Below are 20117 nucleotides of genomic sequence, written 5' to 3'. Positions count from 1 at the left end.
GGATAAAAACCTTCTTCTTCGCTAATGCTTTCTCATGGAGGGCTAAATGTTGATATGAATATAGGTCATGGTTGTATCAGAGATTGGCTCCTAGTAAATTAAGTGATGGTATGATGATGGCCTTGATTTAAAAAGGTGCTTTTGCTTGATGTGGTGAAAGTTGGTATGGGCTTTATTCTGGTGCTATGAGTAGGGATCTCAGTAGTACTACCTTATGGTTTTCTTGATTAATCAAAAGAGTGGTGATGTAATTCCTCATCTTTTTTTTCTTTTTCTTTTTTTTTTGAGATGGAGTTTCACTCTTGTTGCCCAGGATGGAGTACAATGGCATGATCTTGGCCCACCACAACCTCCACCTCCCAGGTTCAAGTGATCCTCCTGCCTCAGCCTCCCAAGTAGCTGGGATTATAGGCACCTGCCACCACCCCTGGCTATTTGTATTTTTAGTAGGATAAGGTTTCACCATGTTGGCCAGGCTAGTCTCGACCTCCTGACCTCAGGTGATCTGCCTGCCTCGGCCTCCCAATGTGCTGGGATTACAGGCATGAGCCACCATGCCCGGCCGTAATTCCTCATCTTATTGCAGCCTTTTTACTGTATGGTGAGTGGTGGTATGGGTACAGGTTCAGCCCTAAATGTTGGTTGCATTGCACTGTGGTTAAGAATGTAGGCTCTGGGCCAGGCGCAGTGGCTCATGCCTGTAATCCCAGCACTTTGGGAGGCCGAGGTGGGTGGATCACTAGGTCAGAAGTTCGAGACCAGCCTGACCAACATAGTGAAACCCCGTCTCTACTAAAAATACAAAAAATTAGCTGGCATGGTGGCTCATGCCTATAATCCCAGCTACTCGAGAGGCTGAGGCAGGAGAATAGCTTGAACCTGGGAGGCGGAGGTTGCAGTGAGCAGAGATCATGCCATTGCACTCCAGCCTGGGCAACGAGAGCGAAACTCCGTCTCAAAAAAAAAAAAAAGAATGTAGGCTCCGGTTCAGACTGCATTTTTGACTGCAATGTATGCTGGAGCTGAGTAGCTTGCCTTCTGGAATTTGCTGCCATCCTTACCACTCACACAGTGAATGCTTATGTAGTTATACTTGGTCCCTTCCTTCACATACTTACCTGCTTGACCCTAGTCTTTGAGTTTGCCACCCCTGCTTCAAGTATTTCAGTTTAGTCATTAAGATGTTGGGCCAGGCGTGATGGCTCATGCCTGTAATCCCAGCACATTGGGAGGCTGAGGCGGGCGGATCACTTGAGGCCAGGATTTTGAGACCAGACTGGCCAAAGTGGCAAAACCCCGTCTCTACCAAAAATACAAAAATTAGCCGGGTGTGACCACATTTGACTCACTCCATTTATTCTACCCTCAACAGGGACTCTACAGATATGCTGCAATGACCACTCTGTCACAATGCAACCCCATAGAACTCATGTCTGCTTTCTCTAACTCCACCAATTGGAAGGGAACTCTGATTTGGTAGTATCCTGGGCCCCAGTGAATGACTCACTGCATAGGTCTTCTCTGTTTCTCACTCCCCTCTCACTGGTTTGACAATCTGCTTGTTGGCACCCTTCTTCTCTCTGGGATCTATGAGTAATAAACTGCTTTTGTTTTTTTCATGTGTTTTTGTTATGTTGTCTTCTCTGTACCTCACCTGACTGACACACACAGACCTAATTTTACTTCCAGTGAAAGCTCTCCTAAAGAGTGGCTATCTTGGTAGGAATAAACTGAACACAAGTCAGAAAAGAGCCTCAAGGGCAGTTGACGGTATAAACAAGTTTCCTATGAGAGGGACACCTGACCATGGGTCAGATACCTAGGCATTAGGCCATCTGCTAGGATAAAGAAGTATCCTGTGAAAGGCACAGTGTAAATATCGACAAACAATCCCCTGGAACCTGATCAGGGCAGGGCTAGAGTTTACACTCCCTCTGCAGAGAAAGATCTCAAGACCAAACTAGAGAAATACGACATAACTTTTAGGTCTTGGAAAACCAGTAGCAATGCTATTCCTACTTTCTTTCATTCTTCTCTTTGAAATTAGCATGGCTGCAATGCTTCTACAGTATGGAAGGTTAAAAAAAGAAATAGTATCCTCAAGTTCTGGGAAGATAAAAGCTTGAATAAATGTTCCTGACACACTCTTCCTCCTGAATCCTGCTGGAGAGTAACACAACAGCCAGGATAGGTAAGGTGATGGAGCCTAAAAACTGTATTTAAGGCTATATTTCTTTTAGGATTTTCTAGTGGGTATGGAGAGCAGATTTGAGCAGCGTCCAGCCTATGACTGCATATGGCAGTGATGCTAGCATCTGACCATTTCTGCCCAATGTGGGACACTTTATTTTATTTTTAAAATTAATTTTAATTTTAATTTAATTAAATAATTAATTTTTTTGTGACAGGGTCTCATTCTTTTTTTTTTTTTTTTTTTGAGACGGAGTCTCGCTCTGTCGCCCAGGCTGGAGTGCGGTGGCGTGATCTCGGCTCACTGCAAGCTCCGCCTCCCGGGTTCATGCCATTCTCCTGCCTCAGCCTCCCAAGTAGCTGGGACTGCAGGCACCCGCCACCACACCCGGCTAATTTTTTGTATTTTTAGTAGAGACGGGGTTTCACCGTGTTAGCCAGGATGGTCTCGATCTCCTGACCTTGTGATCCGCCCGCCTCGGCCTCCCAAAGTGCTGGGATTACAGGCGTGAGCCACCACGCCTGGCCAGTGAAACACTTCAAATAGGCAATTTTGGCTCTGGAGTTCCCCTGCTGAATTGGCTGAGACTGTCCGATCTGCTTAGTGTCAAGAGAGAGTCAAGGGATAGTGGTAGAGGGCGGGGTATCTCTCTCTTTTTTTTTTTTTTTTTTTTGAGATGGAGTCTCACTCTGTCGCCCAGGCTGGAGTGCAGTGGTGCGATCTCGGCTCACTGCAAGCTCTGCCTCCCAGGTTCAAGCCATTCTCCTGCCTCAGCCTCCCAAGTAGCTGGGACTACAGGCGCCCGGCTAATTTTTTGTATTTTTAGTAGAGATGGGGTTTCACCATGTTAGCCAGGATGGTCTCGATCTCCTGACCTCGTGATCCACCTGCCTCAGTCTCCCAAAGTGCTGGGATTACAGGTTTGAGCCACCGCGCCCGGCCAGGGCAGGGTATCTCTCTTAAAACCTGGGGGTGTTACAGCTCTTTTAGAATTTGTCTAGCAGGCTTTCCAGTAAATACAGGAAAGCCCTCAATAAATTTTAAATAAAAAAATAAAAAAAAAGAAACCTGGAACAAAGACTGATTCTGCTCTATGAAGCCTGTTCTATGAAGGTTCAACCTGCTCACCTGCTTTCTTGAAGCCCTAAGGGACCTGACTGATTCACATGACCATGATGGAACTTGAGGAAAACTATTTTGCTGGTCTGAATTACTTTCAGCCCCTATGGTTGGAAGAGATTGCCACGTATGCTCAGGGAGGCTTGGGGCAAAGAGGCTTCCTTCCTACGTCTCAGCAAAGGCATAATATCTCTTCATCTAGTTGATTTCTCACCTACAACAGCAAAAACTGCTTAGTCTTCCACCACTCACTGGTTTACCACTGCTCAGGAGACCCTAATCTGACCTAACTGCTAAGAAGTCAAAACTATGAGCAGGTAAGGAGAAATGACCCATTTTAGGACATTTATTAACTAGAGGGAGGAAGACTAACTCACACAACTAGACAGATGGCTTCTATTGATGCAGAATCACAGGAAGAGTCACAGAGAATTAGTAAATGATTAAACAAGTTAATATTTGTAAAATATTTAGAACAGTGCTTGGCGTATATTATATACACGTGTGTCAAATGATAAAGTAACAAACAAGTAACAAAAGCTCTCAAGGATGTGCAATTAGAGCACAAAAAAGACAATCTAGAACTAGAAAACATGATTTTAGAATTAAAAAAAAAATTAGTGCACAAACTGGAAAAGAGGATGATCCTTAACTGAGAACCAAATTAGCAATCTGGAAGATCAAGCGGAAGAAATAGCTTTCAACAGAGAACAAAAATGTAAAGAAATAGAAATCATTGAGGATTAAGAAACTCAGGAGATCTGTTGTGAAAATGACAGGAGTCCAGAAGGATAAAGTGAATATAAGAAAGCGAAAACCTAACTAGATAAATAATAGAAGAAAATTTCCGGGCTGGGCGCGATGGCTCACGCCTGTAATCCCAGCACTTTGGGAGGCCGAGGCGGGTGGATCACCTGAGGTCAGGAGTTCGAGACCAGCCTGGCCAAGACGGTGAAACCCCGTCTCTACTAAAAATACAAAAATTAGCCGGGCGCGGTGGTGGGCGCCTGTAATCCCAGCTACTTGGGAGGCTGAGGCAGGAGAATCACTTGAACCTGGGAGGCGGAGGTTGCAGTGAGCTGACATCACGCCACTGCACTCTAGCCTGGGTGACAGAGCAAGACTCCGTCTCAAAAAAAAAAGAAAATTTCCCTGAGTTGAAGAAAGATTTGGGTTCGCAGATTAAAAGTGTTCACTGAGTCTTATGAATGATAATGAAAAGAGACACACATCAAAATTTATCCTTGTGAAATCCTTGAATTCCAAGTATAAAGAGAAAACCTTGTAAGTTTCCAAACAGAAAGAACACATTCTAGCTTCCAGCTAGCTTTGGCCACTGGGAGGCACTGGTAAAAGGCTGAAGACTGGGAACAGGGAGAAGCTTGGACATTTCTGTAGAACTTCCTCTCTGTCTTGGGTAATATGTCTGGTACTGGTTGCAGCTCCTCTATAACCCCAGATCCTGCCAGACAGGCTTGCGCTGGATAACCCAGATTCTTGGGCTCTGGTAACACCACTTTATTTATTTATTTATTTATTTATTTATTTATTTATTTATTTCTCTCTCTCTCTTTCTCTCTTTCTTCTTTTCTTCTTCTTCTTTTTTTTTTTTTTTTTGACAGAGTCTCGCTCCCAGGCTGGAGTGCAGTGGCGCCATCTCGGCTCACTGCAAGCTCCGCCTCCCAGGTTCACGCCATTCTCCTGCCTCAGCCTCCTGAGTAGCTGGAACTACAGGCACCTGCCACCACGCCTGGCTAAGTTTTTGTAATTTTAGTAGAGACAGGGTTTCACCGTGTTAGCCAGGATGGTCTCGATCTCCTGACCTCGTGATCCGCCCGCCTCGGTCTCCCAAAGTGCTGGGATTACAGGCGTGAGCCACCGAGCCCAGTCTTGTCTTGTCTTTGTTCTTTCTTTCTCTTTCTTTCTTTCTTTTTCTTTCTTTCTTTTCTTTCTTTCCTTTCCTTCCTTCCTTTCTTCCTTCCTTCCTTCCTTCCTTCCTTCCTTCCTTCCTTCCTTCCTTCCTTCCTTCTCTCTCTCTCTTTCTTACTTTTTTTCAGGGTCTCACTCTGTCACCCAGGCTGGAGTGCTGTGGCATGATCACAGGTCACTGCAGCCTCAACATGTCCAGGCTCAGGTGATCCTCCTGCCTCATCCTCCCAAGTAGCTGGAACTACAGGTGTGCACCACCATGCCTGGCTAGTTTTTTTGTGTTTTAAAAATCTACAACACAGAAAGGTAGAAAACAGTGGAATACCATCTGCAGAAAATTGGGAGAAAAGAACTCCTAACTAAAAATCCTGTACCAGGCCAGGCGAGGTAGCTCACGCCTATAATTCTCAGCACTTTGGGAGGACGAGGTGGGTGGATTACCTGAGGTCAGGAGTTTGAGACCAGCCTGGCCAACATGGTGAAACCCCGTCTCTACTAAAAATACAAAAATTAGCTGGGCATGGTGGCGCACACCTGTAATCCCAGCTACTCAGGAGGCTGAGGCAGGAGAATCGCTTGAACCCGGGAAGCAGAGGTTGCAGTGAGCTGAGATTGTGCCATTGAACTCCAGCCTGGGTGACAAGAGTGAAACTCCATCTCAAAAAAAAAAAAAAAAAATCCTGCACCAAGCTGTAGTAGGCTGCTTCTAAAATGGCTCCCAATGATCCTCACCTCTTCAATATTCACCCTCTTGTAAATCCCTCCTCTTGTGTTGGACCCAGCGACTTGCTTGTAACAAATGAGCCATGGCAAAAATGATGAGATGTCACTTTCATAGTTAGGTTACAAAAGACTGTAGCTTCTGTGTCTTGCTCATATTCTGTCTCTGGCTCTTCCTAAGTGATTACGCTGATGCAGAGGGCCCCCTGGCAAGGAACTGGGGCCTTTAGTCCAACAGCCAGCAAGGAGCTGAATCCTTCCAGCAATGATTTGAGTGATCTTGGAAGTGCATCCTGTCACAGTGAGCCTTGAGATAAGACTGCAGCCCCAGCTGACACCTTGATTGCAGCCTGTGAAAGACCCTAAATGGACACCTTGATTGCAATCTTATAGAGAATCTGAAGCAGAAGACCCAGTTAGGTCAGGACTCTAGGCTTCACAGAAACTGTGAGGTTATAAATGTGTTGCTTAAGCCATCAAGCTTTATTAAAAAAAAAAGTGGAATTCAAGATCAAATGCATTAAGACGAAAAGGGGGCATAAATGGTTCAATCCTTGTTGAAGTGATGAATCACAAACTTTTATGTACTGAAGTATCACAGCTTAATATTTACAGCAAACTCTCAGAAACCCAAGAAGATTTTGATAGAAAACCACCACCATAATGGGAGATTATAATATATCTCCTTCAGAACTTGAATGATCAAGTAGATGAAAAATAAGCTAGAAAATAGATGACTGAATAATGTGACAAACAAGTTCAACATATAATCATATATATGTATATTTCCACACGCATTTTAAAATGTAAACTATTTTGTTTTCCAGGTCTTGGGAACTCGGAAAAAAAATTTTTAATGTAAATTATGTTCTAATGTCTATCAACTGTGTGCTTCTTCACAGAGGAAAACTTCATGAATTTAAAGAAGCAGAGATTTGTAGAGGCAACACATTCTCATTATAATCCAGTAAAATTTAAAATAAATAATTGAAGATGGTCAAAATATCTTTACTACTTAAAAACTGAGGAACAGTCTCCTAGATACCCCTAGATCACGGCTGGGTGCAATGGCTTGTGCCTGTACTCTCAGTGCTTTGGGAAGCCAAGGTGGGAGGATTGCTTGAGACCAGGAGTTTGATACCAGTCTGGGCAACATAGCGTGACTCCTGTCTCTACAAAAATTTTGTTCAAGATCAAAGCCTAGGCAACATAGTGAGACCCCATCTCCAAAAAAAAAAAAAGTAGCCAAGCATGGTGGTGCATTCCTGTACTTTAGAGGCTGATGTGGGAGGGTTGCTTGAGCCTGGGAGGTCAAAGCTGCAGTGAGCCGTGATTGTGCCACTGTACTCTAGCCTGGGTGACAGAGCTAGAACCTGTCTCTAAAAAACAAGACAAAACAACAACAACAACAACAAAACCCCAGAGCTTTGGGAGGCTGAGGCAGGTGGATCACTTGAGTCCAGGAGTTCAAGACCAGCCTGGCCAACATGGCGAAACACTGTCTCTACCTAAAAATTACAAAATTTAGCTGGGCGTTGTGGCATGCGCCTGTAATCCCAGCTACTTGGGAGGCAGGAGAATCACTTGAACCCGGGAGGCAGAGGTTGCAGTGAGCTGAGATCATGCCACTGCACTCCAGCCTAGGCTACAGAGAGAGACTCCATCTCAAACAAACAAGCAAACAAAAAAACCCCACAAATCCCCAAAAAACTCCTAGATAAAAGAGAAAATCAAGACAGAAGTTATAAATTTTTTAGGAAGTAACAAAAAGGTAAATGCTTTATAACAAAACCTATGGGATCATCTAAGGCTCTATTTAGAAGAAAATGTATAGCTTTACATTAGGAATCACAAATGTGTCCAGGGCCTATGTAGGTGATGTAGATGTAGGAAGTGGTTAGATGTAAAAATAGGTAGAGGAAGGGCCTATGGAGAATTGGAGAGTACATGACTGTCCTAAAAGCATTCAAATCCAGCAGTTTGCAATACTCCACTATAAATGCTCTTATTATTAAAAGTGGAAAATATGTACACTGAGTAATATACTATAAACACAGTTGCAAAGCCACAAAATTATCCAAAAGAAAATACAAATAGGGAATTAATGAAAGATAAAGCTCAAATGAGTGAACTAGAAACTCGTCACAGGTTGGGTTGTCAGGGAAACAGATACTAGGGAGTTAAGGGTACGAAAGGTTTATAGAGGAGTAATGTCTGCGGAAAAAAAGGGAAGGGGGTGTTGTACGACTGCAATGTAGACCTGAGAAAGTCTCTGTCAGTCCAATGGGGAGCTCTGGAGCAAAGATTGTCCATCAGATGAGTTCTGCATTGAGCAGAAAAGGCTATATCCCAATACCTCCTTTTGCTCCATCATTAGCCATGGGCATCCTGAGGATGATTTCAGCTCAAAAACTGAGGTGGTCTGACCTTGGAGCTACTAACAGCTGATGGCAGTAACAGCTAACCAAACTCCTTGAAGCTGGACAGTGAGAGCCTTCATGAAGTGGGATCTGAGTAATGCCTCTCTGTTTCTATCACAAAAATAAACAAAAATGCGTAGAGCCAAAACCCAAAAGCTGGCTTTTAAAAAAGTAAATTCAACCTATTAATGCTTCCACCGTTTTGTGTCTCTGTGCAATTTGCAAAATTGTTCAAGTGGAATACATGTGCACAAATTTTCAAAGAGTGGATATTTAGGATCTATTAAATTATATATTAGGCAAAAAACAAGTAGCATTTAAAGGGCTGCCTGCCATGGTGGGAACTGTAAATCAACATATTTTCATGCTGGCCTTTCTTCCACTGCCCTAAACGAGGAAGAAATTTGTAATCAATTCATATTTTAAAAGGGCTACTCCTGCTAGAAAACAAGAGAACATTCTATTAGTTTGAGGTTTGAGTGTCCCCCAAGATCAAAATCAGCGTAAGCCACCGTGCCTGGCTTGATAGTCAATATATTTCTAAGTCTCTCCTAAAGATTGAGCAGAGTAACTGTCCAGAACTTTTGACCTCAATGGCAGAAATAGAAGAAACTGCACTGTCCGAAATGGTGGTTGTTATTGAGCACCTGGAATGCAGCGAAGCTAATCTGATTGGAAATGTGTTGTAAGTGTAAACAGACAAGATTTCAAAGACTTAGAATGCAAAAAAAAAAGTAAAATATCTCATATTTTTCATATTAATTGATTATGATCTATTTTGGATATATAATATTAAATCTATTACGATTTGGCCGAGCACGGTGGCTCACGCCTGTAATCCCAACACTTTGGGAGGCTGAGGTGGGTGGATCACCTGAGGTCAGGAGTTTGAGACCAGCCTGACCAACATGGTGAAACCCCGTCTCTACTAAAAATACAAAAATTAGCCAGGTGTGGTGGCATGCACCTGTAGTCCCAGCTTCTCAGGAGGCTGAGACAGGAGAATTGCTTGAACCCAGGAGGCAGAGGTTGCAGTGAGCTGAGACCGTGCCACTGCACAACAGCCTGGGCCACAGAACGAGACTTAATAATAATAATAAATCTATTAAGATTTATTTTACCTGTTTAACTTTTTCTAATGTAGCTACAAGAGCATTCAAAATGACACTCATAGCTCACATTTTTGGCTCATGTTATCTTTCTATTGGATAGTGCTGCACTAGCTACGTATTGTAGAGTTTCCTGTATTCCTCTTCTTTTGACTCACTGAAAGTTCCAACCAGTACAGAAATGGTGGTAAGCTCATCCTTATGGTTCTCCATGGCTTTAACAATATAAGGCCAATGTATGTCATACTGTGTTCAATTTTTGATTCTCCATACATCTTTTGCTCAATAGGGAGGTCATACAGAGGTGTCCTGTGTCTATCCATACCAGAAAGTGCACATCGACAGGGAACACATGATGGGAAGGCCATAAGCACCAGCAACAAAAAGACCCATGGAGTGCGATAATGGCTCTAGAATCTTTTTGTTAACCGACCCTGTGAAAGTCGCCCTTCTAGCTGTGCTTTCAGTTGAGGTCCTGAGACTGACTACCACTGTGTACAGCCTGATCACTCGATTGGCCATCTGGTGCAGGAGGATGAACCGAGTGGCGGCGGCGGCGGCGGCGGCGGCGGCGGCGGCGGAAGAAGCGGCTCCAAGAGGAACCAGGCACCGCGAGCCCAGCGCGGGAGGAGGAGAGGGGGGAGGCGGAGACAAAGGAGGATAAGATGACATCCGGGGCGGCGACGTCGGAAGATGGGGCCCGGAAAACTCTAGGTCCCGCCCTAGGAATTCTCCTTGGCAGGGCTGAGTCCGCTGAGCCGCCTCCGCCGCTCCTTTCCTTCGGCTCACACTGGCTTCATCTGCCGACTCTCAACTAACCCAGTTTTCTACCCTGGACTGGACCCTCCCACCCAGCCCCTAAAGCAGGTGTTTTTTGGCTTTTTTTTTTTTTTGAAACGACTAATAAAATAGACAAACTGTCAGCTAGCCTAAGGTAGGAAGAAAAAAACAAAAAAGAAGGAAAGAAGGGGAAAGGAGGGAAAAATATTAGTAATGAGCAAGTCGATAAAAACACAGCCATATGATAAAAATTTTAAGAAACTATTGTGGGTAACAAATGTGAATATGTAGAAGAAATGACTGGTTTCCTAGCAAACTATAAACTACCAAAATTGACCCAAGAAGTAGAGAACCTGAAAAGAGCAATAACCACAGAAGAGAATGGAGAGTCACCAGGTCTAGTTGGGTTTTAGCTAAGTTTTAGCTAACCTTTTTTTTTTTTTTTTTTAATGCTTTGATTAGAAAAAAAAAAAATAGAGACTATGTTCCTCAGGCTGGTCTTGAACTTCTGAGCTCAAGTGACCCTCCCACCTCGGCCTCTCAAAGTGCTGGGATTACAGGTGTGAGCCGCTGCTCCTGGCCAATTTTAGCTAACCTTTAAAGAACAAATAACTTCAATGTTATCTAGTCCATTCTAGATAGTGTTTTTCAAAATATCTGCAGTGAAGAACAAGTTTTTTAAAACTTAGAATTATTGTGGACATATACTTCTGCCATTTCTTTCTTTTCCTTTTTTTTTTGAGACGGAGTCTCGCTCTGTCACCCAGGCTGGAGTGTGGTGGCACGATCATAGCTCACGGCAACCTTTGCTTCCTGGGTTCAAGCGATTCTCATGCCTCAGCCCCCTGAGAAGCTGGGACTACAGGTGCGCCACCACACCCGGCTAATTTCTGTATTTTTAGTAGAGACAGGGTTTCGCCATGTTTGCCAGGCTGGTCTCTAACTCCTGGCCTCTGTCCACCTTGGCCTCCCAAACTGCTGAGATTACAGGCATGAGGAACCGTGCCTGGACTACTTTTGCCAATTTTAATTTAAAAGACTAGAAAAATTAAATAATACGCAGACATAAAGTGCAAGGCCAATTTTCAAATTTTTAGAATAATCAGAAATAAAATTAAATTTTCTTAAAAAATAATCAAAATAGTCCGGGCGCTGTGGCTCATGCCTGTAAATCCCAGCACTTTGGGAGGCCTAGGTGGGCGGATCACGAGGTCAGGAGATTGAGACCATCCTGGCCAACATGGTGAAACCCTGTCTCTACTAAAAATACAAAAAATAGCTGGGCATGGTGGCCCGAGCCTGTAGTCCCAGCTACTCAGGAGGCTGAGGGAGGAGAATCACCTGAACCCGGGAGACGGAGGTTGCAGTGAGCTGAGATTGAGCCACTGCACTCCAGCCTGGGCGACAGAGCAAGACTCCATCTCAAAAAAAAAAAAAAAAAAACACTTAAAAAAAATCAAAATAAATTGAACACGGTGGCTCATGTCTGTAATCCCAGCACTTTGGGAGGCAGAGGCACGTGGATCACCTGAGGTCCGGAGTTCGAGTGCAGCCTGGCAAACATGGTGAAACCCCATCTCTACTAAAATTACAAAAATTAGCCAGGTGTGGTGGCACGTTCCTGTAATCCCAGTTACTCAGGAGGCTGAGGCAGAAGAATCACTTGAACCTGGGAGGTGGAGGTTTCAGTAAGCCAAGATCGTGCCACCACTGCACTCCAGCCTGGGCAACAGAGCAAGACTTCGTCTCAAAAAAAAAAAAAAAAATTGATTGAGACCATCCTGGCATCCTGGCTAACACGGTGAAACCCCGTCTCTACTAAAAAATACAAAAATAAAAATAAAAATAAAAAATAACATAGGGACAAATAAGATAATTACAAAACCTGAATACATTACTCATTGATGAGTCCGATGATCACTGCTTGGATGTCATAATGATGTTAAATTGCTATAACAATTTCTAAACCCTCTCAATTTCTGTATTTATCTCATCATAGATGGTAACACGTTAGGGACAGGCACCAGTCCTCAGACCACAGAAAAAGATGAAAAGATCCGAAATTTATTTTGTAAAGCTAGCATAGCCTTACATGTGGGAATATATTAAAATATGATAATATTTGCACAAAAGATACATGTAGAAATTCGAAATAAAATATTAATAAACTGAATTTAGCAGTGTAGCAAAGAATAATATACCATGACTAAGTAGGGTCTATTTAAGAAAAGAAAAAAAAAAAAAAAAAATTGCTGAGCACAGTGGCTCACACCTGTAATCCCAGCATTTTGGGAGGCCAAGGTGGGAGGATTATTTCAGGCCAGGAGTTTGAGACCAGCCTGGGCAATGTAGTAAGATCCTGCCTGTACAAAATTATAATTATAAAAATAAAGAAAAGCAAAAATGATTCAACATTAAGAAATCTATTAACATTGCTGGGCATGGTGATATGTGCCTGTAGTCTCAGCTACTCAGGAAGCTGAGGTGGGAAGATCGCTGGAGGCCAGGAGTTCAAGGCTGTAGTGTGTACTATCAATGTACCTGTGAATGGCCACTGCACTCCAGCCTGGGCAACATAGTGAGACTCCAAAAAGTCTATTAACATAATTCATGACCTGAAGCAATTAAAGGAGAAAACTCATGTTATTATGTCAATAGAAACTGAAAAAGCATCAAAAATTCAACAGCCATTTCTAATAAAACTTCAAAGTAAAATAGAAATTAAAAAGAAACTATAGGCCAGACACGGTGGCTCACGCCTGTAATCCCAGCACTTTGGGAGGCCAAGGTAGGCAGATCACTTGAGGTGAGGAGTTTGAGACCAGCCTGGCCAACCACTTTGTCTCTACTGAAAATACAAAAATTAGCTGGGCATGGTGGCATGCACCTGTAGCCCCAGCTACTCGGGAGGCTGAGGCACAAGAATTGCTTGAACTCATGAGACAGAGGTTGCAATGAGCCGAGATCATGCCATTGCACTCCAGCCTGGGCGGCAGAGTGAGACTCTATCTCAAAAAAAAAAAAAGAAAGAAACTATTTAAACATGATAAAGACTTCCGAAACTCAACAGCAAACATATTAAATGAAAATGTGAAGTCATTTTCACTAAAATCAGGAACGAGAGAAGGATGCTATCACCACTGTTATTCAACATTGTTTTGTATGTTCTAAACAATCCAATAAGACAAGAAAATGAAGTGGTATGTGTAGAAGACTGTTAGTTGTCCTCCAAAATCTATTCTCCCCTTCCTCCTCAGAAGTTCGGCTTTAAAGCACATGACTGAGACAGACTACATTTTCCAGTTTTTCTTAAAGATACCTGCAGCCACATCACCATGTTTGCACCAGTAGAATATGCACAGAAGAGATAGGTTTCAATGTACCCCTCAAGTGCTTAAAAGGAAATTGCTTGTCCTAGACTTTTCTCCCACCCTGCTCCCCACAGGCTATAATATAGGTACAACTGTAATTTAGCTTCAACCATTCAGATGAGCACAATACCCCAGTAGATGGCTGGATAGTAATGGATCACTGAATAACCTTGTGGAGCAAGGATGTCCCACCAGCCTGAATTGGTCATATGGATATGTAATAAATAAATAAGCTGGACAGGTGTGGTGGCTCATGCCTGTAAGTCCAGCACTTTGTGAGACTGAGGTGGGCAGATTGCTTGAGCCCAGGAATTCAAGACCAGCCTGGGCAACATGGTGAGACCCCATCTCTATTTTAAATAAATAAATAAATAAATAAATAAATAAATAAACTTCTATCATATTTTTTTTCTCTCTCTCCCTCTGGCTCTCATTTGGCTTTTACTAAAACCAATATAATAGGAATAATTATCAGAAAAAAGACCCAGAAATTATCAAATTTTTATTATATTCATAGAAAACCCAATAGACTCTGGTTTTACAAAAATTTCCAGAATTGTTTTCCTCACACCACTGACATTTTGAAAAAACTACTAGAATTAATAAAAGTTTTTGGTAAGGTGGTTAGCTACATGACAAGCAAAAAACAAGTAGAATTTTCTAATGTTACGAATAACCAGCTAGGAATAGCAATGGGAAAATATTCCATTCACAATACCAAAAAAAATTTAAAATAATCTAGGAATGAATGGAACAGGAGATATACAGGATTTATATGAAGAACATTATAACTTCTTTTTGAAAAACCTAAAACAAGATCTGAGCAAATTGAAAGATATAAAAACACTAATCCTCCCTCAAATAACAAATACAATAAAATTCAAATAGGAATATTTGTAAACATCCCATTGAACTGGATAAAACAACTTTATATTATAATTATTATAGAAATTAAAATTGTATTTATTATTTTGAATGAGTAAAATATTCATATCGTTCAAATTCAAAAGGTCCCAAGAGGTATGCTGTGATAAAGCTCTTTTCCAGGCCTCCCCCAGCCACTCAGTCCATTCCACATAGGCAGCCTAGGTCACCAGTTTCTCCCATAAACTTTCAGAGATATTTGCATCATCATTATTATTATTTTTTTGAGACAGAGTCTCACACTGTCACCCAGGCTGGAGTGCAGTGGCACAATCTTGACTCACTGCAACCTCTGCCTCAAGTGATCCAGCCTCCCATAATGCTGGGATTATAGGTGTGAGCCAGCGTCCCCCCACTGTGCCCAGCCTGCATCACATTTTTTTACACAGGTGATAGTGTGATATACAGATTTTTCTGCATATTGCTTTATTTGTCTTAGCAATGTGACTCTGAGATGTACAGAGCTTGCTTCTTGTTTCTTTTATTTTTTTATTTGTATACATTTATGTCTATGATGCTGTATTAGTCCGTTTTCATGCTGCTGATAAAGACATACCCGAGACTGGGCAATTTACAAAAGAAAAAGGTTTAATATGGACTTACAGTTCCACATGGCTGGGGAAGCCTCACAATCATGGCAAAGGAAGGGAGGAGCAAGTCACATCTTACATGGATGGCAGCAGGCAAAGAAAAAGAGCTTGTGAAGGGAAACTCCCCCTCATAGTACCATCAGATCTTGTGAGACCCACCCACAACCATGAGAATGCCATGGGAAAGACCTGCCCCTATGATCCAGTTACCTCCCACTGGGTCCCTCCCACAATACGTAGGAATTAAAGGTGAGATTTGGGTAGGGACACAGCCAAACCATATCATTCTGGCCCTGGACCCTCCCAAATCTCATGACCTCGCATTTCAAAACCAATTATGCCTTCCCAACAGTCCCCCAAAGTCTTAACTCATTTCAGCATTAACTCAAAAGTACACAGTCCAAAGTCTCATCCCAGACAAAGCAAGTCCCTTCTGCCTATGAGCCTGTAAAATCAAAGGCAAGTTAGTTACTTCCTAGATACAATGGGGGTACAGACATTGGGTAAATACAGCCATTCCAAAGGAGAAATTGGCCAAAACAAAGGGGCTACAGGCCCCATGTGAGTCTGAAATCCTGTGGGGCAGTCAAATCTTAAAGGTCCAAAATGATCTCCCTTGACTCCATGGCTCACATCCAGGTCACACTGATGCAAGAGGTGGGTTCCCATGGTGTTGGGCAGCTCCACCCCTGTGGCTTTACAGGGTATGGCCCCGCTCCCGGTTGCTTTCTTGGGCTGGCTGAGTGTCTGTGGCTTTTCCAGGCACATGGTGCAAGCTGTTGGTGGATCTACCATTCTGGGGTTTGGAAGACAGTGGTCATCTTCTCATAGCTCCATTAAGTAGTGCCCCAGTAGGGACTCTGTGTGGCAGCTCAGAACCCACATTTCCCTTCTGCACTGCCCTAGCAGAGGTTCCCCGTGAGAGCCTCGTCTCTGCAGCAAACTTTTGCTTGGACATCCAGGTGTTTCTATAAATCCTCTGAAATCTAGGCAGAGGTTTCCCAACCTCAATTCTTGACCTCTGCTCACCTGCAGTCTCAACACCACATGGAAACTGCCAAAGCTTGGGGCTTGCAGTCTCTGAAGCCATGGCCCAAGCTGTACCTTGGCCCTTTTTAGTCATGCCTGGAGTGGCTGGCACACAGGGCACCAAGTCCCTAGGCTGTGCACAGCACAGGGACCCTGGACCTAGCTCACAAAACCGTTTTTTCTTCCTAGGCTCCCAGGCATGTGATGGGAGGGGCTGCCGTGAAGACCTCTGACATGCCCTGGAAACATTTTCCACATTGTCTTGGAGATTAACATTTGGCTCCTCATTACTTATACAAATTTCTGCAGCTGGCTTGAATTTCTCCTTAGAAAATGGGATTTTCTTCTCTATCACATTGTCAGGCTGCAAATTTTTCAAACTTTAATACTCTACTTCCCTTATAAAACTGAATGCATTTAACAGCACCCAAGTCACCTCTTGAATGCTTTGCTGCTTAGAAATTTCTTCCACCAGATACTCTAAATCATCTCTGTCAAGTTCAAAGTTCCACAAATCTCTAGGGCAGGGGCAAAATGCTGCCAGTCTCTTTGCTAAAACATAACAAGAGTCACCATTGCTCCAGTTCACAACAAGTTCCTCATCTCAATCTGAGACCACCTCTGCCTGGATCTTACTGTTCATATCACTATCAGCATTTTTGTCAAAGCCATTCAACAAGTCTCTAGGAAGTTCCAAACTTTTCCACATTTTTTCTGTCTTCTTCTGAGCCCTCCAAACTGTTCCAACCTCTGCCTGTTACTCAGTTCCAAAGTTGCTTCCACATTTTCAGTTATCTTTTCAGCAACGACTTATACAATTTATTGCATTAGTCCATTTTCATGCTGCTGATAAAGACATACCCGAGACTGGGCAATTTATAAAGGAAGGAGGTTTAACATGGACTTCCAGTTCCACATGGCTGGGGAAGCCTCACAATCATGGCAGAAGGGAAGGAGGAGCAAGTCACATCTTACGTGGATGGCAGCAGGCAAAGAAAAAGAGCTTGTGCAGGGAAACTCCCCTTATAATACCATCAGATCTTGTGAGACCCACCCACAACCATGAGAACACCATGGGAAAGACCTGCCCCCATGATCCAGTTACCTCCCACTGGGTCCCTCCCACAACATGTGGAAATTAAAGATGAGAATTGGGTGGGGACACAGCCAAACCATATCAGATGCATATTCTTACTTTCCTGCTATATTGTATCATTCTCCTCTAGTAAACTGTACATTTGTAAGCACCCTCATGCTGGGTCTCCTGGGTCTTCTACAGCAATCCAACCCTGTTTAACTATTGGGAACTTATAGTAGGGGAGTTGCGCCTGATTCTTGTCTGTGAATTTTTTTTTTTTTTTTTTGAGACAGAGTCTCACTCTGTCGCCCAGGCTGCAGTGCAGTGGTGCAATATTGGCTCACTGGAACCTCTGCCTCCTGGGTTCAAATGATTCTCCTGCCTCAGCCTCCTCAGTAGCTGGGACTACAGGATCGTGGCACTATGCTTGACTAATTTTGTATTTTTAGTAGAGGCAGGGTTCCACCATGTTGGCCAGGCTGGCCTCTAACTCCTGGCCTCAAGCAATTTGCCTGCCTCAGCCTCCCAAAGTGCTGGGATTACAGGCATGAGCCACCACACCTGGCACTGGCTGGTTTTTAATTTTATTTTATAAGCAATACTCTTGTTGGCTTCTATTATGGGCTGAATTGTGTCCCCCTCAAAATTCATATGTTGAATTTCTAATCCCCCTTTCCCTAGAATGTGACTGTATTTGGAGACAGAGCTTTTAAAGAGGCAATTGAGGTAAAAAGAGATCATATAGGTGGGCCCTAATCCAATATGACTGGTGTCCTTAGAGGGAAGAGATTAGGACACAGACAATACAGAGCCCATGGGGCAACTATGTTAGGACAGTGAGAAGGAGACCATCTGCAAGCCAATGAGAAAAGCCTCAGAAGAAACCAAACTGTCCCCACCTTGAATTGGACTCCTGGCCTCCAGAACTGTGAGAAAATACATTTCTATTGTTTAAGCAACCTATCTGTGGTATTTTGTTATGGCAGCCTTAGCAAATTAATATAGGTTCTCATCTATCTTGTTCCAGGGAATGTCAGTTTGTTAACTATCTCTACAGAGTCCTGTAGGTCAAAGTTCCATCTTTGCCATTCCAGACTTGCTGTCCATTACGATTATTACATTCACCTTGACTCTGACAGTTAACTGCTACCACCTGGCCTCTGCTCTTTCAGAATCCTATTATCTTCATTGACAGACACCAAGGGGCCTAATTACATAGCAATCTCTCCTATCATGTACCCTGACCCATAGAAAACAGCCACCATGGAGTTTTTCAATATTGCTAGTAGCCTTAACAAAACAAGTGTCCTCTGGGCCCTCTCAGGAGACATTGTCCACTGATATATTTTCTGGTTTTGCATAAGTAAGCTGTGCTAATTTGCCTACCTTTCTGAGCCTTTTGACCCTTCTCTCAAGTCAAGGCAGTTCCAACAACTCCCCTTCATTTACTACAGAGGCATTGTTGTCTCCAAGTTTCAAGGAGCCATTCCAGCAGCATACTAGGACTGGCTCCAGATGTCCTTGCCAGGATGCTAAATCCTGAGTCATGGGAGAGTGTTCCAATAACTATAAATTCTTCCATATCCAGCTTTCTATCCCTTCCTGGTCCAGAACCCTCAAGATCTATTCCCAGTTTATTCTCCTGATTCCTGCAAATAGAAATTTTCCAAGACTGACAACTATTCAGTGAATAATCTCTTTTCTCCCATAGTAGAAACACTGTTTCTCTTCTTGGCCCATGTTAAGAATCATCCCTTGTTATTTGTCTATAGAAGAAATGTGCTGAGGTGGGGGCAGATCTTGTGGAAGATAAGCATCATCCTTCTGTGTAAGTCTATCACTCTCACAGTCAAACCTGGGGTCTATTAGAATAGACTATTCTTTTCCGGAAGAGATTTAAAAAATACAATTTCTTATGAAGGCCTTTTGCTTTCACATCATTCTTTTAAAAAAATTTCTTTTTGAGACAAGGTCTTGCTCTGTCATCTGGGATGGAGTGCAGTGGCATGATCACAGCTCACTGCTGCCTTGACCTCCCAGGCTCAAGCGATCTTCCCACCTCAGCCTTGTGAGTAGCTAGGACCACAGGCATTCACCACCATGCCTAGCTATTTTTAAAAATTATTTGGAAAAACAGAGTCTCACTGTGTTGCCCAGGCAGGTCTCAAACTCCTGGGCTCAAGTGACCCTCCCACGTTGGCCTTCCAAAGTGTTAGAATTACAGGCATGAGTCATCGAGCCTGGCCCACACTATTCCTTGAGTTAATAGCTGGCTAACCATGGCTGGGCGTGGCGGCTCATGCCTAATCCTAGCACTTTGGGAGGCCAAGGCAGGTGGATCAGCTGAGGTCAGGAGTTCAAGACCAGCCTCGCCAACATGGTGAAACCCTGTCTCTACTAAAAATACAAAAATTAGCCGGGTGTGGTGGCACACGCCTGTAATCCCAGCTACTTGGGAGGCTAAGGCAAGAGAATTGCTTGAACCCGGGAGGCAGAGGTTGTGGTGAGCCGAGATCGCACCATCGCACTCCAGTCTGGGCAACAAGAGCGAAACTTCATCTCAAAAAAAAAAAAAAGTTAGCTGACAAAACTTATCATTTTCTTCCTTTAAGGTTTCTATGGCCATTAACAACAGGAAACTAACTCAATGATTCTTAAAATTTCCACCTTTCAAGTGCTAGAACTATTGCATAAGCTTCCTTTCACTTGTACCCTATACCAATCTCAGCAATTGTGAGGCAACAGCATGCCAGGGATTACCAACACTCTGCTTACCATCAGTAATGAGGTTCTTGTTTTCATACGTTCTACAAGTGATCCAGCTCCAGAATTCCATCCTGAGGGTCTATTTTAAATG

General features: G+C 43.2%; 2 pseudogenes; one reads left to right on the top strand and one right to left on the bottom strand.

Annotated features, from left to right (window-relative positions):
* RNU7-69P (RNA, U7 small nuclear 69 pseudogene) lies at nucleotides 3164-3221 on the top strand (annotated as a pseudogene).
* MEMO1P4 (MEMO1 pseudogene 4) lies at nucleotides 9609-9979 on the bottom strand (annotated as a pseudogene).

Source organism: Homo sapiens, chromosome X (genome assembly GCF_000001405.40).
Source record: "Homo sapiens chromosome X, GRCh38.p14 Primary Assembly".
Taxonomy (NCBI): Eukaryota; Metazoa; Chordata; class Mammalia; order Primates; family Hominidae; genus Homo; species Homo sapiens.
The sequence above is the reverse complement of the archived record's forward strand: the minus strand, read 5'-3'. Positions and strand labels throughout refer to the sequence as shown.